This window comes from Homo sapiens, chromosome 1 (genome assembly GCF_000001405.40).
Source record: "Homo sapiens chromosome 1, GRCh38.p14 Primary Assembly".
Lineage (NCBI taxonomy): Eukaryota > Metazoa > Chordata > Mammalia > Primates > Hominidae > Homo > Homo sapiens.
This window is the reverse complement of record NC_000001.11, coordinates 20,745,399-20,771,908: the sequence shown is the minus strand read 5'-3', so window position 1 is coordinate 20,771,908 and position 26,510 is coordinate 20,745,399. Positions and strand designations below refer to the sequence as shown.

Sequence of the window (26,510 nt, the reverse complement as noted above, 5' to 3'; positions counted from 1 at the left end):
GTTCTTATCCAATGAGAATGAATAAGTGCTACATTGATTTAATAGACACTGTGGCAGTACAAAATTGATGGACTAGCTCATTAGATAAATGACAGATGCTACTTTTGTGTGTTTCAAAATTTAAAGTATTTGATTTCAAGTCAGTGACCAGTTGGAAAACAAAATTTTAAGCATTTGAAAAAAATTAAGTATTTGCTGCCTTTGTGACATAATGAGCTACTTAATTCTTCCAGGTGCATTAGTCAAATGGAGTATAAGTAAAATAGGATGGAAATGGAAGAGGGCACATTAAATTCAAATAGAACACCTTCACTATTACCCAAAACTCTCCTTCAGCACTTTGCCATCTGTAAACCCATTTTTATGCCACTTATTCAGATTATCTTTGATTCTTCTTTCTGCTGACATTCATACAGAGCCTTCAGGGAAATGTCCTGGCATGCTCATTCCTTAAGCTCGTGCCTTAAAATGGGACAGATCTGTGATCCTGTAAGTGATAGGTTTGTTCTGCTTTTCTCATTTTGATGCCAAAGATTCATCTTCTAAATACAGAATGGAATTAAAATGGAAAGAGGTTCTTCATTATACATAGAATGTTGTTCGTGTTCAGTATGGTCTCTTAGGCTGTTTTGAACAATTTAAAATTGTAGTAGAAATATTTAGTAATTCTGTTACTTCTCTGTAGTCATTATGAACTGAAGTCTTCTGAAGTTCATTCTTCCCTACCGTTTTTGTCATCTATCATCAAATTCACTTCCAAAATAATTTATTTTGAAAATATATGTCAGGCTCTATCTAATAAAAAAAAACAACTAGTTTAATAAATCTTTTCTAGGCATGCTTCCAGAAGAGTGGTGCATCAGTGGTTGCTATTCGAAAATACATCATCCATAAGTATCCTTCTCTGGAGCTGGAGAGAAGGGGTTATCTCCTTAAACAAGCACTGAAAAGAGAATTAAATAGAGGAGTCATCAAACAGGTATTACACAATTGTTAGTAGTAAGATCATTTCATTGTGTATTAGCTTTAAGTCTACAGTTAGTAACATTTAGGCTTTTTGTGCCTTTTTTGTTAAAAATAAGTTTCATGATGATGAAATTCCTTAAGTTTAACCTAGTTGAATTATCTGAGGCTAGGTTTCGAAAATGCTGGTGCCATTAAGATAGTGTAACTTTTTTCTAGCTTACTTTGCTCTTAATTGGATATTTTTTGGGGGGCTGCTTGTGCTTGAAATCATGTAGCACTGAACATGAAAAAGAGGTAAGGAATCCTACTACTGAAACAGCAAAAATGAGGCTAGGGATGGTGGCCTACACCTGTAGTCCCAGCACCTTGGGAGGCTTAGTTGGGAGGATCACTTGAGCCCAGGAGTTCGAGACCAGCCTGGGCAACATAGCAAGACCCCTTCTCTACAAAAAATACAAAATCAGCAGGGTTTGGTGACACATGCCTCTAGTCCCAGGTACTTGGAAGGCAGAGGCAGGAGGACCGCTTGAGCCTGGGAGGTTGAGGCTATTGTGAGTTACGATCTCACCACTCCAGCCTCGGTGAGAGTGAGACCCTGTCTGAAAACAAAAAGGAATAACAGAAATAATAATTGCCCTTGTCTTAGGTTTGTTTCCTTTAAAGCCTAACTTACATGATAGACTTGTTACTATTAATTTTTAGCTTCATAAATGTGCTCACCTTAACTGATTAGTATCTAAACTATTAAAGCCTGTTAAGAGTATCAGAGAAACCCGAGTGAAATGTGACTAGTACTAGAACAAATGTTGATTTCAGGCATAAATCTACTTTATCTTGCATAGTGCATGGAAACTTAGAACCATAGAAATCTAAAGCTAGAATAAACTTTATATTATGTTACCCTCTTCAGAGGTCCAGAGTGATGAAATAACTGCTAAGGTCTTACGGTAGTGGCAAAAATTTTAAAAACCTAGTTCACCCCATTCCTAGAGTCTTGTTAAGTTTTTTCTATACCCCCTGCCTGTTTGATCAGAACAGAATTCTGTGCCACTCAGGCATTTCAGCTCTGCTTAGGGACTTCCAACTAGTACTTAATTGCACAGATACGTCTTGTCTCCTATGTGCCAGTTGCCTGGAGGTCTGTTAGTGAATAAAACAGATTGCTGCTCTGTGGAGCTAGGAGTCCAGCTTTCTCAAAATGTAAAACTGATATTTAAATGGCCTTTAAAATTATCACTGACGGCCAGGCACAGTGGCTCATACCTGTACGCTGAGGTGGGAGGGTTGCTTCAGGCCAGGAGTTTGAGACCAGCCTGGGCAACATAGCAAGGTGAGGCCCTGTCTCTACAAAAAAATTATTTCTTTATTCTATTTTATTTTACTTTTTGAGACAGGATCTCACTCTGGCCCAGGCTGGGGTGCAGAGGTGCAATGTCAGCTCACCGCACTCTCTACCTGCTGGGCTCCAGCCGTCTTCCCACCTCAGCCTCCCGAGTACCTGGGACTATAGGTGTGCACCAGCACACCCAGCTAATTTTTGTATTCTTTGTAGAGACAAGGTTTTGCCATGTTGCCCAGGCTGGTCTCAAGCTCCTGGGCCCAAGTGATTCACCCACCTCAGCCTCCCAAAGTGCTGGGATTACAGACGTGAGCCACCATGCCCAGCCTTTACAAAAAACTTAAAAATTAGCCAAATGTAGGGGTGCATGCCTCTAGTCCCAACTCATGAGGCTGAGGCAGGAGGATCGCTTGAGTTGAGCTATGAGCTAACATAGCAATGAGCTATGATTGTGCCACTGCACTCCAGCATGGGTGACAGAGTGAGACCCTGTCTCTAAAATAAAACAAAATTATCGTTGACTAAAAAGTCTTACCTAGTTAATATAATTATTAGAGCCAAGGACCTGTTGTGTAACATGTCAGCAAAGCTTATGAGATGGCTTCATGTTTTAGTTTATGACCTGCTCTAGCCTACATAGCCTGACCACCCTTGGTTTGATGCCTAAACAACTCTTAGTAGGCTAAAAGCATTCCAGCTTGATTGCTGCATTGATAGCAGTGTAGGTAAAACTAAGCTGTGGAGGACTTTAGTTATTGTGAATCAACTTTTTTTTTGAGATGGAGTCTCGCTCTGTTACACAATGGCATGGTCTCAGCTCACTACACCCTCTGCCTCCCGTGTTCAAGCAATTCTCCTGCCTTAGTCTCCTGAGTAGCTGGGATTACAGGCGCCCGCTACCACACCCAGCTAATTTTTGTATTTTTAGTGGAGATGGGGTTTTACCACATTGGCCAGGCTGGTTTCAAACTCTTGACCTCAAGTGATCTGCCCACCTCGGCCTTCCAAAATGCTGGGATTATAGGAATGAACCACCGTGCCTGGCCTATTGTGAATCAACTTTAAAATTTTATGAAAGTGCTTTGTGAACTGGAAATATGTGGTAAAACTTAACATACCATTGTGTGCAGTGGCTAAAAAATTGTTTGTTTGTTTTTTGAGACGGAGTATCGCTCTGTCACCCAGGTTGGAGTGGAGTGGAGCGATCTCAGCTCACTGCAAGCTCTGCCTCCTGGGTTCACGCCATTCTCCTGCCTCAGCCTCCCGAATAGCTGGGACTACAGGCACCCGCCACCACGCCCGGCTAATTTTTTGTATTTTTAGTAGAGACGGGGTTTCACTGTGTTAGCCAGGATGGTGTCGATCTCCTGACCTCGTGATTCGCCCGCCTCGGCCTCCCAAAGTGCTGGGATTACAGGCATGAGCCACCGCGCCCAGCCAAAAAATTGTTGGATAACCCTTCCCATAAGGAATAATGTATCATTGGTAAACTGTGGGAAGTTACGTGGTCTGAGACTAATTAGGCTCTAAACTTTTTCCAAGGTGCTTTTAAGACAGTGAGGGCTTTTCTTATTTCCCTAAGAGATTGTGTCCCTTCCTTTTTTGGGACATTTTTGTTTTGATTTTTTATTTCATTTTGAAAGTTTTTAATAAACTGTTTAACGTGGTATCACAGTAGCATTCTTCCCAAAATTTTGTAGATGAGAAAACAAAAGCTCAGAGGGTTAACTGGGTTGTCCAGTATTACTCAGCATCAGCTAGATGGTATATAAAGGAGCTTTCATCTGAAGTCTTTTGACTCTGCATTGACTGTTTTTTTTTTTTTCTCTGAAGAAGTAAACACCACTTTACATTAGCTCTTGCATTACCATGGCCTGTAATTTCCTTAGCCTACTGTAAAGTTATGAATACTAGAATAACAAAAATTAATTTACTTTAGGTTAAAGGAAAAGGTGCTTCTGGAAGTTTTGTTGTGGTTCAGAAATCAAGAAAAACACCTCAGAAATCCAGAAACAGAAAGGTAAGACATCTATACCACAGTTTGAGTGCTGTGGAGCTGTTACTGCTACTAAAAATAGCAACATTCATTGAGTGTTTGCTGTGTGCCTGGCACTATGCAAGGTTCAGCCTTTCTGCTAAGGCCTAGGGAAGTTATAAATAATTTGTTCCTCTAGTGAGTAGAATAGCCAAGGTGCAGATCCAAGCAGTCCAACCTGGTTAAGCCTGTGCTCTTAAGTGCCTTATATTAAATTATGGGCAGCTATATAAATTACACTGTTTTTTGTTTTGAGATGGAGTCTTGCTCTGTTGCCCATGCTGTAGTGCAGTGACATGATCTCAGCTAGCTGCAACCTCCGCCTCCTGGATTCAAGCAATTCTCCTGCCTCAGCCTCCTGAGTAGCTGGGATTACAGGCACTCGCCACAGTGCCTGACTAATTTTTTTTGTTAGTAGAGACAGGGTTTTACCGTGTTGGCCAGGCTGGTCTTGAACTCTTGACCTCAGTGATCTGCCCGCCTCTGCCTCCCAAAGTGCTGGGATTTACAGGGTGAGCCATTGCTCCCAGCTGAATTATACTGCTTTTTGTGAAATATCTTTTAAACTAGAGGAGGTATAAGAGTCCTCTGTTTTTTTGTTTGTTTGTTTGTTTGTTTTCTTTTCTAAGATAGAATCTTGCTCTATTGCCCGGGCTGGAGTGCAGTGGCACGATCTTGGCTCACTGCAACCTCTGCTTCCCGGATTCAAGTGCTTGTCCTGCCTCAGCCTCCCCAGTAGCTGGGACTGCTACAGGCATGTGCCACCGTTCCCAGCTAATGTTTGTATTTTTAGTAGAGATGGAGTTTCACTATGTTGGCCAGGCTGGCCTCCACCTCCTGACCTCAGGTGATCTGCCTGCCTCCGCCTCCCAACGTGCTGGGATGATAGATGTGAACCACACCATGCCCAGCCTAAAAGTACATTTTTACCAAATACTAGACCCAAAAACAATACCCAGATCCAATTTTTCTTCCTGTTTTTGTAAATACTAACATTCTTCTTCCCAACACATATAATTTCATTTGTGTAAAGTATTTCTACAATAATAAAGTGAAATGTCTTGTACTCATTTATATCAGAAATTGAAATAATATTTTTCTACACCTTTTTTTTTTGTTTTACAACTCTGAAGCTTTTTATCCTTTTTTCATAGACTTTTCAAACACTTTCAAAATGAACTTTATGCATTTTTTTCTGGTGCTGTACTTCATAAATTAGGACCTTTAAAATCTACACTCCTTTTTACTTTTATGTGTGTTTTTTGTGTGTGTGTTTTGAGACGGAGTTTCGCTCTTGTTGCTCAGGCTGGAGTGCAATAATGCAATCTCGGATCTCTGCAACCTCCGCCTTCCGGGTTCAAGTGATTCTCCTGCCTCAGCCTCCTGAGTAAATGAGATTGCAGGTGCATGCCACCATGCCTGGCTAATTATGTATTTTTATTAGAGACAGAGTTTTACCATGTTGGTCAGGCTGGTCTCAAACTTGAGACCTCAGGTTATCAGCCCACCTCAGCCCCCCAAAGTGCTGGGATTACAGACGTGAGCCACCACACCTGGCTCCTTTTTCTTGTTTTGTTGTGTTTTTTTTGTTTTTTTTTTTTTTTGAGACGGAGTCTCGTTCTGTCACCCAGGCTGGAGTGCGGTGGCTCCATCTTGCATCACTGCAATCTCCACCTCCCGGGTTCAAGCAGTTCTTGTGCCTCAGCCTTCCAAGTATCTGGGATTACAGGCTACGACGTCTGGCTAATTTTTGTATTTTTAGTAGAGAGGAGGTTTTGCAATGTTGGCCAGGCTGGTCTTTAACTCCTGACCTCAGGTGATCTGCCCACCTCGGCCTCCCAAAGTGCTGGGATTACAGGTGTGAGCCACCACACCCAGCTTTTATATGTATTTTTAATGCTGTCCATTGAAAATTTTATATCAAAGAAATTGCCATAAAATTGACAAATTTGGTAATCAACTGAGGAAAGCCCTTGAGTTGTATGTAGAAACATTTACGTTCTATAATGATCATAATTTTTGATAATTACTTTTCAGAATAGGAGCTCTGCAGTGGATCCAGAACCACAAGTAAAATTGGAGGATGTCCTCCCACTGGCCTTTACTCGCCTTTGTGAACCTAAAGAAGCTTCCTACAGTCTCATCAGGAAATATGTGTCTCAGTATTATCCTAAGCTTAGAGTGGACATCAGGTATGAGCCATTGGCCTGGCCTTTAAAACATGATGTGTTACTTCCTTTAGCTCCCTTTTCATGGGAAAAGAGATAGATTAAATACTGAGGAAGGATTACTTTCAGCTAAAAATAAATCTTTTTTATTGGTTTTATTTTTTTGCCCCATTATGTTTTTATTTTCATATCTCCATGTATAATTTTTTTTTTTTTTTTTTTTTTAGTTTTTTGAGACAGATTTGTTCTTGTCACCCAGGCTGGAGTGCAGTGGCACCATCTCAACTCACTGCAGCCTCTGCCTCCCGGGTTCAAAGGATTCTCCTGCCTCCGCCTCCCGGGTAGCTGCGCCTACAGGCACCCGCCACGACACCCAGCTAATTTTTGTATTTTTAGTAGAGCCAAGGTTTCATCATGTTGGCCAGGCTGGTCTCGAACTCTTGAACTCAAGTGATCCACCTGCCTCGGCCTCCCAAAGTGCTAGGATTACAGGCGTGAGCCGCTGTGGCCAGCCTTTTTTTTTTTGAGATGAAGTCTTGCTCTTGTTACCCAGGCTGGAGTGCAATAGCGCAGTCTCAGCTCACTGCAGCCTCTAACTCCCGGGTTCAAGCGATTTTCCTGCCACAGCCTCCGAATAGCTGGGATTACAGGCCCCGGTTACCGTGCCTGGCCTAGTTTTGTTTTTTGTGTGGTTTTTTTTTTTTTTTTTCCAAACCCAAATCTTATCTTTCTTTGTAAGATCCTGGTAGAGTAACTCTTTTAAATGTTGTCAGCTGTTAAGATATGTAGTATTGAACTGTGTATCTTCTCAGATATGAAATATCTTAACAGTTGACAACATTAAAAGAGTTACTCTACCAGGTTTAAAAGAAAAAAAACAAAAAAAAAACTAGGCTGGCTGTGGTGGTGGGCATGTGCAGTCTCAGCTACTCAGGAGGCTGAGGCAGGAGAATCGCTTGAACCCAGGAGGTGGAGTTCGCAGTGAGCCGAGATTGCGCCATTGCACTCCAGCCTGGGCACCAAGAGCAAAACTCCGTCTCAAAAAAAAAACCATAAGAGTAAAAAGGAGTGTAGACTTTAAGGGTCCTAATTTATTCTTAGCCTTTAATAACTAAATAATGAAGTACAGCACCAGAAAGTAATACATAAAGTTCATTTTGAAAATGTTTGAAAAGTCTGTGAAAAAAAGGATAGAAAGCTTCAGGGTTGTAAGAAAAAAAAGTGTAGAAAATACTATTTCAATTTCTGATATAAATGAGTACAAGACATTTCATTTTATTATAGAAATACTTTACACAAATGAAATTATATGTGTTGGGAAGAAGAATGTTAGTATTTACAAAAACAGGAAGAAAAATTGCATCTGGGTATAGTTTTTGAGTCTAGTATTGGGTTAAAATGTACTTTTAGGCTGGGCACGGTGGCTCACGCCTGTAATCCTAGCACTCCAGCCTGGGTGACAGAGTGAGACTCAGTCTCAAAAAACATATATATGATAGATATATGCATACATATGTACATACATATACATCATATATATATTTCATGAGAATTCAGGCTTCAATAACACCTGTACATAGAAATAGCATAATGTTTCCATCATTTAAACATGCAGCATAAAATTCTGAGATAATTTTGTTAGTAATTGATACGTAAAATTTGCCATTTAACGTCTTGACAGATCATTTAGATTGTCACATTTGCTCAGTTGTAGATTCATGCAGATATATCAATTTGTTTAAATTTGTAATTCACAGACTCTGAGAGTGTTTGTGTGAGATGACTTCTAGAAAATTATGTTTAATCCAGATTTCTGTCTACAGAAGACTACCATATTGAATGCACATTGTCCCGATACAGTGTAGTACCAGTATTTACTTGCATTACTGAGGCATGCAATTAGAAGTGCTGAGGTTTCAGTCCAGAAGCCACATTTTCAGAAAATCAGTAGTGGTCATCAGAATGCCAAATTAAAGAGCTAGTGAAATAGTGCAAAAGAAAAGGGAATTATAGAAGCAGAAAGTTCTAAATTAATGTGCTGATATTTTCATGCTTCTTATATGCTGAGTATAGTGGTAGTAGGCAGACACAATTGTGGATCAAAAATGCGTTATATGATGCATTTAAAGATGGAAACATATTTCACTATTCTTTAACAAAGAATAAAGTTTATTTGGCTCATGGTACTGCAGGCTGTACAAGAAGCATAGTGCAGGCGTCTGCTTCTAGTGAGGGCTTCAGGAAACTTACAATCATGGTGGAAGGAGGAGCTATCGTATCACATGGCAAAAAAGGGAGCAAGAGAGGAGGGAAAGGTGCCACACTCTTAACCAGATCTCACACTCTTAAAACAACCAGTTGTTTTAAACAACCCGCTCATTACGGCCAGGAAGGCACGAAGCCATTCACGAAGCCATCCCTATAACTCAGACACCTCCCACTAGGCCCCACCTGCAACACTGGGGATCATATTTCACTTTTATCTCCTTTGTGTGACCCCAAAATATCTGAGACAGGTCTCAGTCAATTTAGAAAGTTTATTTTGCCAAGGTTAAGATTGTGCCCGTGACACAGCCTCAGGAGGTTCTGAAAACTTGTGCCCAGGGTGGTCTGGGCACAGCTTGGTTTTACACATTTTAGGGAAACATGAGACATTAATATATGTAAGGTGTATGTTGGTTTGGTCTGGAAAGGTGGGACAACTCAAATCAGGGAGGGGGCTTCTAGGTCATAGGTAAATAAAAGACAAAGAATTTCATTATTTTTGAGTTTCTGATTAGCTTTTTCAAAGGAGGCAATCAGATATGCATTTATCTCAGCAGATGAATGACTTGAAGTTCTGTCTGTCGTTTGTCTGCAAGGATTTTCCTTGTGATTAGGGGATTCGTGATTAGGGTTTGTGATTAGGGGATCCCAAGATTTATTTTCTTTTCACAGCCTTTATTCTCTGCTTTTTGGTGAGTGGAGACCATATCTTCCCCCATTTTTTTTTCTTGTAGTTCTACTCTACTTACATAAGGTAGTGTGTTGCTACCAGTGTGCCTTTGCTGCACTTCTTTTGAAACATATTGTCATGACCTTAGGCTGAAACAAAATTTACCTGATAATGGATGGGTTGTCAACCCAAAGGTGCTAATGAACCTGAAGACCTTTTCTCATGGCCTTTTTAATGGTAATTTTTTCCATTGAAACTTTTTTCTCTTATGTGAAACCATATTGATTTTCTCTAATTCTTGATTATAATGGAGTCCTTTCATATACACATTTAACTTGAAAATTCAGCCATTCTTGCTTGGCCAAACAAAAGAGGAAGAAAAATACAGTTTCACCAAAGTGTAAGTTGTCTATACTGGTATCTACAATGTCTCCCCTTCCACTTTCTCCACTTTAGTCAGACTTTATCCCCACCACTTTACCTGAATATTTTCTGTCAGTCTCCACGTTGGAAATTTCAGTGGTCAATTCATAGTCCTTACCAGCTGCCCTCTCAATGGCATTTGACACAGTTGATGACTCCTACCTGCTTGAAACATTTTCTTCACTTGCCTTCCAGGACACCACACTTTCCTGATTTTTCTGTAACCTTTTTACCCTTCGTTTCTCAATCTCCTAAGGATTTCTGCTTTACCTCTTAATAGAAAGGAGCCCTCAGGGTTATACCTTAGGCCTCTCATCTTTTATGTCCACATTCACTTGGTGATTCCTTTCACTTGCAAAACTGTAAATACCAGCTATAAACTATTAATTCACAAATGTATGAATCTAGCCCATACCTCCCTTCTAACTTCAGATTCGTGTATACGGATGCCTGTTCAGCATCAGCACTTGGATGTCTGATTTAAATGTTGAAAACATTTAATGATCCCCACTCTGCTCCCTCTCCCCCCAAAAATCCCTGCATTTCCCACATTATCTTCATTTCAGTTCATGACAATATTATCCTTCCATGTGCTGAAACCAAAAACCCTGACTTTGTGCTGGTCTCTTCTCTTTATCAGACACCTTTATCTAATCTATAAGCAATTATTTTTGCTCTGTCTTTAAAATATATCAGTAAACAGGCTGGGTACTGTGGCTCATGCCTGTAATCCCAGCACTTTGGGAGGCAGGTGGATCACATGAGGTCAGGAGTTCGAGACCAGCCTGGCCAACATGGTGAAACCCCATCTCTACTAAAAATACAAAAAAATTAGCCATGCATGGTGGCACGTGCCTGTAGTTCCAGCTACTCAAGAGGCCAAGGCAAGAGAATCACTTAAACCTGGGAGGCATAGTCTGCAGTGAGCCAAGATCACACCACTGCACTCCAGCCTGGGCGACAGAGTGAGGCTCCGTCTCCAAATAAATAAATAAAATAAAATATATCAGTAAACAGACTACTTGTCATCACCTGCACTACCATTCTCTTCCAGGCCACCATCATCTCTCACCTGTATTAGAGCAATAACTTCTTAACTGCTTTTTTCATGCTCCCTTTCAGTATGTTCTTACCATCATAGTGAGAGTGAGACTTTTTTAAAAATGTAAGTTCTATCACTTTTTAAAATTTATTTATTTATTTATTTGAGAAGGAATCTTGTTCTGTTGCCCAGGCTGGAGTGCAGTGGCATGATCTCGGCTCACTGCAACCTCCGCCTCCTCGGTTCAAGCGATTTTCCTGTCTCAGCCTCCCGAGTAGCTGGGATTACAGGCTGTGCCACCACACCCGGGTAATTTTTGTATTTTTAGTAGAGACAGAGTTTCACCATGTTGGCCAGGCTGGTCTCAAATTCCTGGCCTCCAGTGATCTGACCGCCTTGGCCTACCAAAGGATTACAGACGTGAGCCACTGTGCCCAGCCTGTCACTTTTTTTTTTTTCCAAGCTGGGGTCTTGCTCTGTTGCCCAGACTGGAGTATAGTGGCAAGATCGTGGCTCATGGCAACCTCGAACTCCTAGGCTCAAACGATCCTCCCACTGTGGCCTCAAAAGTAGCTGGGACTGCAGGAATGTGTCACCACACACAGCTAGTAGTTTTTAAATTGTTAATAGAGACAGAATCTCCCTACATTGCCCAGACTGGTCTTTAACTCCTGGCCTCAAGTGATCCTCCTGCTTCGGCCACCCAGGTGTTGGGATTACAGGTGTGAGCCACTGTGTCCAGTGTCATGTCGCCTTTCTACTCAAACATTCAGTGTCTTCCCAATCCCGTCACAGTTAAAAAATCAGTCTGTAGGGCTGGGTGTGGTGGCTCACGTCTGTAATCCCAGCACTTTGGGAGTCTGAGGCGGGTGGATCACAAGGTCAAGAGTTGGAGACCTTCCTGGCCAACATGGTGAAACCCCATCTCTACTAAGCATACAAAAATTAGCCGGGCATGGTGGCACATGCCTGTAATCCCAGCTACTCAGGAGGCTGAGGCAGGAGAATTGCTTGAACCCAGGAGGCAGAGGTTGCAGTGAGCCGAGATTGTGCCACTGCACTCCAGCCTGGGCGACAGAGCAAGACTCTGTCTCGGGGCAAAAAAAAAAAAAAAAAAAAATCGGTCTTTAAAATGGCCCACAAGGCACTACACTCACTTGTATCTCTGACCTAAGCTACTCCTCTTCACTCTCTCACTGGTCTCAGAGCCTTTGTGTTGCATTCCCTTTACCTGAATGTATTTTTCCCCATAAGCCACTTTGCCAGTTCCTTTACTTCCTTAAGTTTTTAGTCTGATGTCATCACCAAAGGCCTGCCTTGACTATTTTTATTATTCTTGTTACTTGGGCATATAAACAAGAGAAATGTATTTCTCACAGTTGTGCAGACTCGAAGTCTGAGATCAGGGTGCCAGCATGGTTGGGTTCTGTGAGGGCCTCTTCTGGGTGTCAGAGTGCCTTCTTCTCATTGTATCCTCACATGACAGAAGGAGCCCTTAATACTTTCTTAAATGTTTTATTTTGGAAATTTTCAAACATATACAAAGAAGGATAGAGAACATTAACCATCATACTTAAATCATTCTTTTTTTTGTTTGGAGACAGAGTTTTGCTCTTGTTGCCCAGGCTGGAGTGCAATGGCACGATCTTGGCTCACCGCAACCTCCGTCTCCTGGGTTCAAGCAATTCTTCTGCCTCATCAGCCTCCCAAGTAGCTGGGATTACAGGCATGCGCCACCACACCTGACTAATTTTGTATTTTTAGTACAAATGGGGTTTCTCCATGTTGGTCAAGCTGGTGTCAAACTCCCAACCTCAGGTGATCTGCCGGCCTCGGCCCCCCAGAGTTCTGGGATTACAGGTGTGAGCCACCTCGCCCGGCCACTTAAATCATTCTTAACAAAATTAATAATTTCTTAGTATTATCTAGTACCCAGTCCATGTTCAAATGTCCTTAATTGTCTCCAGAATGATATTTTACAGTTGTTTTTCCTAACATGGCCCACACGTTGTATTTGGTTGATAATGACCAACCAAAACCTCTCTCCCAGCCAGGTGCTGCGGTTCACATGTGTAATCCCAGCACTTTGGGAGGCCGAAGCGGGAGGATCGCTTGAACCTACAAGTTCGAGACCAGGCTGGGCAACATAGTGGAACCCCCTCTGTACAAAAAAAAAATAACAAAAATTAGCTGGTGTAGTGGCATGTGCCTATAGTCCCAACTACTCGGGAGGCTGAAGCAGCGGAAGGGTTGCTTGAGCCTGGGAGATCAAGGCTACAGTGAGCCATGGTCATACCACTGCACTCCATCCAGAGTGACACAGTGAGATCCTCTCTCAGAAAAAAAAAAAAAAAAGGCCAGGTGTGGTGGCTCACACCTGTAATCCCAGCACTTTGGGAGGCTGAGGCGGGCAGATCATGAGGTCGGAAGATCAAGACCATCCTTGCTAACACAGTGAAACCCCGTCTTTACTAAAAGTACAAAAAATTAGCCGGGCGTGGTGGCACGCGCCTGTAGTCCCAGCTACTTAGGAGGCTGAGGCAGGAGAATCACTTGAACCTGAGGGGGCGGAGGTTGCAGTGACCTGAGATCGCGCCACTGCACTCCAGCCTGGGTGACAGAGGGAGAATGCGTCTCAAAAAAAAAAAGGAGTGTTTAACCCATAGGGTTTAAGTCTCTTAGTATGTGCGAAGCACTTCTTAGAATAGTCCTTGGTACCTAGTAAATGTTCAACTAATGTTATTCTTACTAGTCTCAGTTCCAGCTTCTCATAGTATGACCATTACAGCATGCTAAATAGGATTCTAATATTTAAAGACATAATTTTTTTGTTTTGTTTTTTATTTTTTATTTTTGAGACAGAGTCTTGCTCCGTTGCCTAGGTTGGATTGCAATGGCATGGTCTCAGCTCACTGCAACCTCCGCCTCCCGGGTTCAAATGATTCTCCTGCTTCAGCCTCCTGAGTAGCTGGGACTACAGTTGCCTGACACCACGCCCCGTTAATTTTTTTGTATTTTTAGTAGAGCTGAGGTTTCACTATGTTGGCCAGGCTGGTCTCGAACTCCTGATCTCGTGATCCACCCGCCTCGGCCTCCCAAAGTATTGGGATTACAAGCGTGAGCCACCGCGCCTGGCCAAGACATTGGTTTTTAATATAACATGCAAGTCACCTTCTTAATTTGATAACAGTGATTTTTTTGCAACCCTAGAAGAAGAACTGGGCATATTGGGTATATAGAGACTCAGAGTTGGCCTTGAAGAAGGTGTCTTTGGAAATTTTCTAGGTCTGTCATACAGCGTTAGAAGTCAAATGTTAAAATCTAATCTTCAGCCAGGCGTGGTGCCTCATACCTGTAATCCCAGCACTTTGGGAGGCCGAGTCAGGCAGATCACCTGAGGTCGGGAGTTCGAGACCAGCCTGACCAATATGGAGAAACCCCGTCTCTACTAAAAATGCAAAATTAGCCGGGTGTGGTGGCGCATGCCTGTTATCCCAGCTACTCGGGAGGCTGAGGCAGGAGAATTGCTTGAACCTGGGAAGTGAAGGTTGCAGTGAGCCAATATCGTGCCATTGCACTCCAGCCTGGGCAACAAGGGCAAAACTCCACCTCAAAAAAAAAAAAAAAATAATAATAATAATAGTAATCAGAACTCTAGATCTGGGAATAACCCTGTATCTATTTCTTTACATTTTTCTTTCATTAATGTATTTATCACTATTTTTTTTTTGTTTTTCTTTGCAGGCCTCAGCTGTTGAAGAACGCTCTGCAGAGAGCAGTAGAGAGGGGCCAGTTAGAACAGATAACTGGCAAAGGTGCTTCGGGGACATTCCAGGTTAGAGATCAGAGGCCTGGTTGTGGAGAAGTGCTTCTTAAAGTTTTTGGTTTCAGGACCTCCTTATACTGTAAAAATTTATTGAGGACCTCAAAGAACTTTTGTTTATGTGGGTTATATCTGTCAACATTTACTATGTTAGAAATTAACATTGAGGTCTGGGTGCGGTGGCTCACACCTGTAATCCCAGCACTTTGGGAGGCTAAGGCAGGTGGATCACCTGCGGTTGGGAGTTCGAGACCAGCCTGGTGAAACCCTGTCGTCTCCACTAAAAATACAAAAATGAGCTGGGCGTGGGGGCACATGCCTGTGGTCCCAACTACTTGGGAGGCTGAGGCAGGAGAATCACTTGAACGCGGGAGGTGGAGGTTGCATTGAGCCAAGATTGCACCACTGTGCTCTAGGCTAGGTGACAGAGCGAGATGCCATCTCAAACAAACAAAAAAACACAAAGAAATTAACACTGAGGAAAAATTTAAATATTTATTGATTTACTTTAAAATACTAGTAGAAAACCCATTACATATTAACATAAATGACATATTTTTTAGTGAAAAATAGCTGTCCTCCCCCTGCCACCTCCCGGCCTTTTTTTTGAGACAGTGTTTCTCTCTGTTTCCCAGGCTGGAGTGCAGTGGCACAATCACAGCTCACTGTAGCCTCTATCTCCCAGGTTCAAGGGGTCCTCCAGCGTCAGCCTCCCAAAGTGCTGGGATTGTAGGTGTGAGCCTATAATCCGTCTTCCCCAATTTTTTTTTTTTAATGAGAAGTCGTCAGGCACTGTTTACATTTTTGCAAACATCTTTAACATCTAGCATAACAGAAGACAGCTAGTATCTGTTCCAGTTTATTTTGGGTTACTTATTTGAAGAAAATCTAACCTTACACAGAAATACAATTAGAAAAGGATGGAATATTTTAAGATAACTTTGAGATAGTTGTAGAAATTATTCTTTGATACTACACCAAAACTCAACAAATCGTTATTTTTTTAACAGCTTTATTGAGGTTGATTTGCATACCTTATACAATTTAATTTATATAATTACAGTTTATAACTCAGTGATTTTCAGTAACTTTATAGAATTGTACAACTATCACAGTCCAATTTTCGGACATTTCTGTCACCCAAAAAAGATCCCTTGTAGCCATTTGCAGTCACTCCCTATTCCACCAGCAGCCTCAGGCAACCTCTAGTCTGTTCTGTCTCTCTGCAGATTTGCATTTTGTTCACATTTCATATGGATAGAATCTAGAATCATGTACTATATGATCTTTTGTGTCTGGCTTCTTTTGGCATGATGTTTTTGAATTTTATCCACGTTGCAGCATGTACCAGTGCTTTCATTCTTTTTTATTGTCCAATAGTATTTCATTCTATGGATGTCACATTTTGTTTATCCATTCATGAGATGATGATGGACATTTGGATTATTTCTACTTTTCAGCTAATTATGAATAATACTGCCTATGAACATTTATGTTCAAGTCTGCGTGGATATGTTTTTAGGACTTGCTGGGCCATATGGTAAATTTATGTTCTAAGAAACTGGCAGTGTTTATAAGGGCTCAAGTCGTTTTGTTTTGTTTTGAGATAGGGTCTCACTCTGTCACCCAGGCTAGAGTGCAGTGGTGTGATCTTGGCTCACTGCAACCTCCACCTCCCTGGCTCAAGCAATCCTCCCATCTTAGCCTCCCTAATAGCTGGGATTATAGGCGTGCACCACCACCATGCCTGATTAATTTTTGTATTTTTTGTAGAAATGGGGTTTCGCCGTGTTGCCCAGGCTACTCTTGAACTCCTGGGTTCAGTGAAGTAGTCTGCCTGCCTCAGCTTCCCAAAGTGTTGGAATTACAGGTGTGATCCACCACACCTGACCAGGGCTCGAGTTTCTCCATATCCTCCTCAACGTTTGTTACTCTTTTTTATTATAGCCATACTAGTGGATATAGGGTATCTCGTTGTAGTTTTGATTGGCATTTCCCTAATAATTACTGATGTTGAGCATCTCTTGTGCTTAAGGCCATTTGTTTATTGTCTGTAGTGAAATGTTTATTCAAATCTTTTGCCCATTTTTAAAAGGGGGTTGGTTATTCGTTAACAAGAATTCATTACTCTAGACATAAAGTCTCATCAGATTTTTTCTCCTATTCTGTGACTTTCTCAGTAGTATCTTTTGAAGCGTTTACTTTTTGATGAAGTCCTATTTATCATTTTTAAAAATTGCTTTTGCAGTTTTATGGTTATCTAAGAAACATTGCCTAATTAAAGGTAATGAAAATTTACTCGTACGTTTTAAGAGTTTTATAATTTTGGCTCCTACATTTAGGTCTGTGATCTATATTGTTTTGTTTATAGTGAGAGGTAAGGGTATAATTTATCTTTTTGCATGTGGGTGTGTGATTATTCCAGCACCTTTTATTGAAAAGACTGTCCCTTCCCTATTGAATTGCCGTAGCATCTTATGAAAATCAATTGACCATAAATATAAGGGTTTATTTCCGGATTCTGAGTTCTCTTTTGTTCTGTAGGTGTATCCTTCATGCTAATACTGCACTGTCTTACTGACTGTAGCTTTATAGTGAATTTTGAAATTTGGAATTATAAGCCCTCTAACTTTTTCAGGAATGTTTTGACTATGCCGGGTCCTGTACAGTTCCATACAAATTGTCCATTTCTGCCAAAAAAAAAAAACCAAAAAAACAGCTGGAGTTTTGGTAGGAATTGCCTTGAACCTATAGATCAATTTGGGGAGACTCACTGTCAACAACGTTGAGTTTTCCAATCCATGACACAGAGGTCTCTTTATTTAATTTCTCTCAGCAGTGTTTTGTAGTTGTTCGGTGTACGAGTCTTGAATTTTTTTTGTTAAATTTATTGCCAAGTATTTTATTCTTTTTCCATGCTGTCTTGAATGGTGGAAGTGTTTTCTAATTTTCGTTTTCAGGTTGTTAACGCTAACCTGTAGAAATACAATCGATTTGTCCATTGCTCTTGTATCCTTCGCCCTTGCTGAACTCACCAGTTGTAGTAGTTTCTTTGTGAATTCCTTACAGTTTTCTACATACAGGATCTGTTATCTGCAAATAAAGAGCATTTTACTTCTTTGTTTCTAGTCTGGATGTCTTTTACTTCTTCTGATTGCCTGATTGCTCTAGATTAACCTCCATTACAGTGTTGAGTAGAAGTGGTAACAGCAGACATCTTCGCCTTGTTCCACATCCTGGAGAGAAAGCATTCAGTCCTTCACAAGTTAGCTATAGGTTTTTCATAGATGCCTATTGTCAGGTTGAGCAAGTTCCCTTCTATATATACTACTAGTTTCCTGGGAGTTTTTATCATGAATGGCTATTGGATTTGTCAAGTGGTTTTTCAGTGTCTGTTGAGATGATTGTGTGGTTTGTGTCCTTTGTTCGTGTGGTCTGTTAACATTATTTGTTTTGTGGTAAATTCTTTAAAGTTTAGTTGCCATGTGAAACCTGAAACCCTAATCAGTGAATTTCTTGGACTGTGTTACCTTAAAATTCATTGAACTTTGAATAGGTATTTTAATCCTTCATAATTTTGTAGCACGATACATTGGTCATTTGAAAAATAGTGGCACAGAGTTACATAGATTTTCCAAATGTTGGCATTTCATTATATACGACAACAAAAATTACAATCATTGGTGTTGGCCACTGATCTTATAAGAACAGTATTTAAGTATTGGGAAGATAACAGACTCACAGTGATGGACACAAGTTTTTCAGGATTTAAATTTTCTCTTGAAAGGTTGAATTTTATCATTGGCAACAAATACTATTATTTTTTTACATGACAGGCTCTTTTAGTTCATTTGCAAGATACTGTCTACCTCATAACCAAGTCTGAATAATGATAGGTTAGCTGTCAGTTATTTCTTTAAGTAAAAAAGTATTACAGGTCAGGCGCGGTGGCTCATGCCTGTAATCCCAGCACTTTGGGGAGGCCGAGGTGGGCGAATCACGAGGTCAGGAGATCCAGACCATCCTGGCTAACATGGTGAAACCCAATCTCTAGTAAAAATACAAGAAATTAGCCGGGCATGGTGGCACATGCCTGCAATCCCAGCTACTCGGGAGGCTGAGGCAGGAGAATCCCTTGAACCCAGGAGGCAGAGGTTGCAGTAAGCCAAGATCACGCCACTGCACTCCAGCCTGGGTGACAGAATGAGACTCCGTCTCAAAAAAAAAAAACGTGTTCCAAGAAAAATGCAGCTAATTCAGCTCATAACTTTAACAATTACACAAGTGCTTTTCCTGGATACCATCATGTCTACATATGTAGCAGATACGGATTATGTGGTTCTTCCTGTTTCATCCCATAAAATATTCTAAAGACATTCAAAAGTTGAGATTTAATAAAATAATTTTTAGTACTTTATCAAGGGCATTCTAAGTGAATTCGTGCTCTTTTTTTTAAACCATAAGTACATAGCAGTAAAGAAGACAATAACCACATTTTTGTGTCTCTGCCTTTATCTGTGGTAAGCTGACAGCAGTTTTACCCACCATTGCTTCTGCACCATCAGTGCAAATGTCAAAATAGTGAAAAGGCCAGGTGCAGTGGCTCACACCTGTAATCCTAGCAATTTGGGATGCTGAGGCGGGTGGTTTACCTGGTCAGGAGTTTGAGGCCAGCCTGGCCAACATGGTGAAACCCCATCTCTACTGAAAATACAAAAATTAGCCAGGTGTGGTGGGCGCCTGTAGTCCCAGCTACTCGGGAGGTAGACGCAGGAGAATCGCTGGAATCCGGGAGGCGGAGGTTGCAGTGAGCCGAGACCGCGCCATTACACTCCAGCCTGGGCAACACAGCGAAACTCTGTCTCCAAAAAAAAAAAGACAGTGAAAAAGCAAATCGCATCTTAGGTTTTTGTTTGTTTGTTTTTTGAGATGGAGTCTTGTTGCAGTGAGTACAGTGGCTTGATCTCGGCTTACTGCAACCTCCACCTCCCGGGTTCAAGCGATTCTCCTGCCCCAGCCTTGCCCAAGTAGCTGGGATTACAGGCATGCACCACCATGCCCGGCTAATTTTTGTATTTTTAGTAGAGATGGGGTTTCACCATGTTGGCCAGGCTGGTCTTGAGCTCCTGACCTCAGCTGATCCACCCGCCTCAGCCTCCCAAAGTGCTGGGATTACAGGCATGAGCCACTGCGTCTGGCATATCTTAGTTTTATTATGCAAATAGTTTTGACCTTGCAGATCCTCTGAAAGGGTCTCAGGAACCCAGACAATTGTAACCAGACCATTCTTTAAGAACCACTAAACAGTTTTGTAGAGCATTTCTGGTTTTCTCCTTTTCCCTTTTTGCATATTATTTGCTAACCTTTGTTACCACACCTTTCATTTTCAAAGTATGCTATGTAATTTTCTTTTGTATGATACTTTTTTTTTTTTTTAGTTTATTATTTATTTTTAGAGACAGAGTCTTGGTCTGTCACTCAGGCTGGAGTATAGTGATGTAATCATAGCTCACTAATAGCCTCAACTTCCTGGGCTTAAGCCATCCTCCCCCCTCACCCTTTCATGTAGGTAGGCTACAGGCATGCCGCCATTCATAGCTAGTTTTTTTATTTTTAGTAGAGAGAGAGTCTCACTATGTTGCCGAGGTTGGTCTTGAACTCTTGGCCTCAAGCAGTCCTCCCCCATTAGCCTCCCAAAGTACTGGGATTACAGATATGAACTACCGTGCTCCCTGATACCCTAAATATTTATCAAAATTTTTCACTGCTATTTTCCTCATAGGATTAAAAGGGCTATTTATTATTTTTTATAACTACAGCTGACCCTTGAACAACATAGGGGTTAAAGGTGCAGATCCCCCGTGCAGTAAAAAAAAAAAATCATAAAAAACTTTAGATTCCCAGAAAACTTGACTATTAATAGCCTACTGTTGACCGGAAGCCTTACAAACAGTTAATACACATTTTGTATGTTGTATGTATTATATAATGTACTCTTATAATAAAGCAAGCTAGAGAAAAGAAAATGTTATTGAGAAAATCTTAAGAAAGAGGAAATAATGGCCGGCCACAGTGGGTCACACCTATAATCCCAGCACGTCAGGAGGCCGAGGCAGGCAGATCTCCTGAGGTCTGGAGTTCGAGACTAGCCTGGCCAACATGGTGAAACCGTGTCTCTACTAAAAATAAAAAATTAGCGAGACCTGGTGGTGGGCGCCTGTAATCCCAGCTACTCGGGAAGTTGAGGCAGGAGAATTGCTTAAACCCAGGAGACCGAGGTTGCAGTGAGCTGAAACCACGTCATTGCAATCCAGCCTGGGCAACAGAGCGAGACTCTGTCTCAAAAAAAAAAAAAAAAAAAGAGAGAAAATATATTTATTGTTCATTAAGTGGAAGTGGATGATCGTACATGTCTTTATCCTTGTCATCTTTGAGTTGAGTAGGCTGAGGAGGACAAGGAGGTGTTGGTCTTGCTGTCTTGGGGTGGCGGGCAGAGGCAGAAGAAAATCCACATATAAGTGGACCAGCACAGATAAAATTGTGTTGTGTTCAAGGGTCAGCTATACTTCATTTTTCAGATTCAGAAAAGTGAAGTATTCTCAAATAAAATAATCTTTTTTTTTTTAAATTTATTTTATTTATTTATTTTTTTAGACAGAATCTTACTCTGTCGCCGAGGCTGGAGTTCAGTGGCATGATTTCGGCACACTGCAACCCCGCGTCTTGGGTTCAAGTGACTCTCCTGCCTCAGCCTCCCAAGTAGCTGAGACCACAGGCACCTGCCACACCTGGCTATTTTGTGTGTGTGTGTGTGTGTGTGTGTGTGTGTGTGTGTGTGTGTGTGTGTGTGTGTGTTTTTAGTAGAGACAGGTTTCGCCATGTTGGCCAGGCTGGTCTCGAACTCCTGGCCTTAAGTGATCTGCCTGCCTCTGCCTCCCAAAGTGCTGGGGCTATAGGTGTGAGCACCCAGCCAAAAGAATCTTAATTTTTAGGGACATAACTGGTTAACCTGCTTATTGGGTACAGTTGTCAGTATCTTTGGGTTAGGTTGGCTATTATTTTAGGGTGGATGGAGGGTAGATGGAAGGAGAAAATATCCATAGGAGGGTTGGGACTTCTCAGTTAGATTGAATACCTGTTGAATGGGAAGAGAAAGTCCCTAAGCTGACAATTTATTGTAAAACATATCTGTGCTAATGCAGGAACTCCGACCCACCTGGTGCAGAGGAGTCTTGTCTTGACCTGCTTTGGGAGAGTGTTGTCTTGATGCTTTTCTCTTCCTCCTTGGAAAACAGCTGAAGAAATCAGGGGAGAAACCCCTGCTTGGTGGAAGCCTGATGGAATATGCAATCTTGTCTGCCATTGCTGCCATGAATGAGCCGAAGACCTGCTCTACCACTGCTCTGAAGAAGTATGTCCTAGAGAATCACCCAGGAACCAATTCTAACTATCAAAGTAAGACTCGGTTGTGTATATTTAACTGGGATTAGGAGAATTTTCTTTTGAAAAAACCGTGGAGGGCCAGGCACTGTGGCTCACGCCTGTAATCCCAGCACTTTGGGAGGCTGAGGCGGGTGGATCACGAGGTCGGGAGTTTGAGACCAGTCTGGCCAACATAGTGAAACCCCATCTCTACTACAAATACAAAAAAATTAGCAGGGTGTAGTGGTGTGCATCTGTAGTCCCAGCTACTCGGGAGGCTGAGGCAGGAGAAACGCATGAACCCAGGAGGTGGAGGTTGCAGTGAGCCGAGATTGCACCATTGTACTCCAATCCGGACAATAGTTGCGAGACTATGTATCAAAAAAAAAGAAAAGAAAAGAAAAGAAAAAAAAATCATAGAGATCATGCTATTAATGTCAAAGTATTAACTACTGACTGAAAACCAAGAGGGAACAGCTTTACAAATTTCATATTTACAAAAAGAAAAACAAATAATCAAAACTGAATTCTTAATTTAAAGCATCTGCTTATAAGAAGTTGCTTTTACTGTAAAGATTTTTCTGATATTTATTGTAATTTAGATAAATCTCTAGGTTCAAAGCAACTCTAAATTATAGTGTATTTTTTCCTACTTTTGAATGTTCACCAAAAACATCTAATTTTACTTTGAAACAAAGCCAGGATTTTAGAGTACTTACTACTTATATTATTTCTTATTAACCTAAGCCCCACAACAGACAATACTTTATTTCAGTAAAGTATATTTACTCTAGGAGGTGGTGATTTGAGATGAGACACCCTGCCTTATCAGCATTATCGTGTGGATTGGTGAGACTGGGTGACTTCTCAATGAACTATTAGAAGAGGCACAATGTTGTAGGGTGAGGGATATGGAAATTAAGTAACAGAAGAAGACAATCCAGAATATATTATTGTAATTAAAAGGTAATTTTGAAGTCTTTTTTTTTTTTTAGACGGAGTCTCGCTGTGTTGCCCAGGCTGGGGGGCGCAGTGGTGCGATCTTGGCTCACTGCAAGCTCCGCCTCCCCTGGGTTCACGCCATTCTCCTACCTCCACCCCCTGAGTAGCTGGGACTACAGGCACCTGCCACCACCCCTGGCTAATTTTTTTGTTTTTGTATTATTTGTTTTTAGTAGAGACAGGGTTTCACCGTATTAGCCAAGATGATCTCAATCTCCTTACCTCGTGATCTGCCGGCCTCGGCCTCCCAAAGTGCTGGGATTACAGGCGTGAGCCGCCACGCCCGGCCTATTTCTATATGCCAGATGTTTTAAGAGAAGATGAATTTGGTTAACAAGCCTTTCAGTTTCACTGATATTTGCAGCTGTTTTTTGGATACTGAATCACCATAAAATATATTTTGGATATGTCTCTGTAAGAAAGATGAGAATGAAGGACTTCAGGAACCATGATATTGTTTTGTTACTGTTTACTGATTTATGAATAATTAGTTCTGTTCATCTTTATAAGAGATTCTCCTAGATGATTATCAATACCTATAGGTACACAATAGATGTTTAAGTGAATGGAAATAATTAAATACTTAGTTTTAGGTCTGCTGTTTATGTGCTACCTTAGAGCAAGTCACTTAACTACTTTGAGCTCAAGTCACTTAACCACTCTGGGCTTTTTTTTTTTCCCTGTGAAATAAGGTATTTGACTCAATGGTCTCTAATGTGTCTTTTCATTATAACTCTTGCCAGGTATGGTGGCTCATGCCTGGAGTCCCAGCAGTCTGGGAAGCCAAGGTGGGAGTATTGCTTGAGCCCAGGAGTTTGAGACCAGCCTGGGCAACATAGTGAGACTTTGTCTCTATATTTTGCAAAATTTTAAAATATAGATATATGTATGTATGTATGTATATAATTTAACTCTTGCCAAACTTATGGGCAATAAGTAAATGTTTAATTAAATACCTTTGAACACATAGGATTCACTTAGTGTATGTCAATTACCGTATGTGACAGGATATTAAATTGATGGGCATCTGTTTGTGGTTGAGGGAATTATCTAATCTGAATAACTAGATAACTTTCATTTCTGAATTTTTTTTTTCAGTGCATTTGCTGAAAAAAACCCTGCAGAAATGCGAAAAGAATGGGTGGATGGAACAGATCTCTGGGAAAGGGTTCAGTGGCACCTTCCAGCTCTGTTTTCCCTATTATCCCAGGTAAGTACTTAGCCTATAATAGATCACTGTAAATTTATAGTCTAAGTTACACACTCAGTTTAATTTATTTTACCCTTATTACTGTTTTAGTGAACTGGAAATACAGTCGTCCTTTGTTACATATAGGGGATTGGTTACAGAACTGCCCGCATACCCAAATGCGCATGTACTCAGCCCTGTGGAATCCATGTATCTGAAAAGTCTGTCCTCTTTGTATGCAGGCTTCGCATCCTGTGGATGTTGTATTTCTGATCTGTGTCTGGTTGAAAAAAAAAAGTCCACATATAAAGTGGGCTAATGCGTTGCCAACCTGTGTTGTTCAAGGGACAACTGTATTTGAAAATAAAGATGACTTTTAAGGCAGTATTATTTTGGAGTAAAAGGTTTTGTATAAAAATAGTGATTTTAGCCAGGCATAAGATTATTTGAGATCCTCGGATGGTCATTTTGATGTTCATTCCTTCTTTATCAAGTAAATGATAATGACAGATTCTTAGAGGATTATGTATAAGTTTTTGTTTTTGTTTTTTGAGACAGGGTCTCACTCTATCGCCCAGGCTGGAGCAGTGGTATAATCTCGGCTCACTGCAATCTCCGCCTCCTGGGCTCAAGTGATCCTCCCACCTCAATATCCCACGTAGCTGGGACTACAGGTGCGCGCCACCACACCCAGCTAATTTTTGTGTTTTTTGTAGAGATGGGGGTCTTACCATATTATCTAGGCTGGCCTTGAACTCCTGGCTCAAGCAGTCCTCTCGCCTCAGCCTCCCAAAGTGATGGGATTATATGCATAAGTTTTAATTGTCCAATACCAAGTGGGGAGAACATTGACTGTTTTCAAGAATCTTAACTCTACCTCCATACTGTAGAGACAGGAACACTTATCTGAAAATTTGTTTCTTGCAAATACCTTATTTATTCTTTGAAACAAAAAAATATATTGATCACCTCCTGTGGTCCAAGCATTGTTTCATGCACTGGGTTTAAAGCCTTTTGATTTCCAGTAAAGTACATAACATATACCACTAAGACCCTGTTTTAGCAAGACTATTGTGTAACTTTCTTATATTATTATTTCTGTACAAACATAAGTGTTACTTGGCTTAATACATATTATATAAATTTTTCGAACATTAAACATTAAATTTAATTCCCAAAGTCACACACACACAAAATGTTACATTCTGCCAGGTGTGGTGGGATGCACCTGTAGTCCTAACTACTTGGGAAGGTGAGGTGGGAGGATCCCTTGAGCCTAGGAGTTTGATTCCAGCCTGGGCAGCATAGCAAGACCCTGTGTCTGAAAAAGGCAAGAAACACACACACACACACACACACACACACACACACACACACATATATGTATGTATGTTATCATTTAAGGATATGTTAATCAAAGGAATCAAGGTTCATACCACCAAGGACAAAAAAGAGTTTAGGAGATCCTTGCCGAATACCTTTGAAGCTTTGAACAGATTTAGGCCTTTGAGGTCTTTTTTTTTAAGACTTGGAGGTCTTTTGCCAGTATTATGAGGCTGAAGTGTGTATTCCATGCAGACTGTTCATTGCTGTGTACTCATTGGCTAATACAGTGCCAGATACATATTAGGAGTTTAAGTAATTGTTTACTAAATAAATGACTATGGATTAATTTTATTAAATAGTGGGTATAGAATTAGGTATGGTGCAGGACTTTTATAGATTTGGCATAACTTTATATGTATGTTCAAAATACGGTAAATTGTAACCTGATACGTGTAACCTAGCTTGACATTTTTGGGAAGGGTGGGAAGAAGTGGGATATGTCCAGGTAAGAGCATCTAGGTTCACATTATTTTTCTTGTTTTATATGGGACTTGTGTTTTAATCTAATTTTTCCCCGTATAGCCCAGGAGTTCTGTTTCCGAAGAAAGAGCCAGATGATTCTAGAGATGAGGATGAAGATGAAGATGAGTCATCAGAAGAAGACTCTGAGGATGAAGAGCCGCCACCTAAGAGAAGGTGTGGACATGTGAAAACCCCTTGTGGGGAGGACACTAAATACCTCAGAGCTGAAAAATAGTGCTATAGGAGGGGCTAAAGCTAAAAAGCATTTCAGAAACTCAGGATCCTTCTCAAGTTCTTTATATAAATTTGGATTGATCT

The 26,510-nt window shown here is 41.0% G+C and overlaps 1 protein-coding gene across 18 annotated transcripts in view; it reads left to right on the top strand.

The window, feature by feature from the left end:
• HP1BP3 (heterochromatin protein 1 binding protein 3) overlaps positions 1-26,510 on the top strand; it is a 47,042-nt gene that overhangs the window by 15,399 nt on the left and 5,133 nt on the right. For 13 of the 18 annotated variants that reach the window (NM_001376793.1, NM_001399820.1, NM_001372052.1 and 10 more), the window contains 7 exons: positions 836-979; positions 4,245-4,325; positions 6,378-6,532; positions 14,653-14,743; positions 22,027-22,186; positions 24,254-24,365; positions 26,253-26,366. In NM_001376793.1, the coding sequence (NP_001363722.1) occupies positions 836-979; positions 4,245-4,325; positions 6,378-6,532; positions 14,653-14,743; positions 22,027-22,186; positions 24,254-24,365; positions 26,253-26,366 (857 nt within the window). Of the gene's footprint in view, positions 1-835; positions 980-4,244; positions 4,326-6,377; positions 6,533-14,652; positions 14,744-16,504; positions 17,854-21,933; positions 22,187-24,253; positions 24,366-26,252; positions 26,367-26,510 lie in introns of those variants that run through there. The other 5 variants (NM_001376797.1, NM_001376795.1, NM_001376796.1 and 2 more) reach the window with 2 other exon arrangements.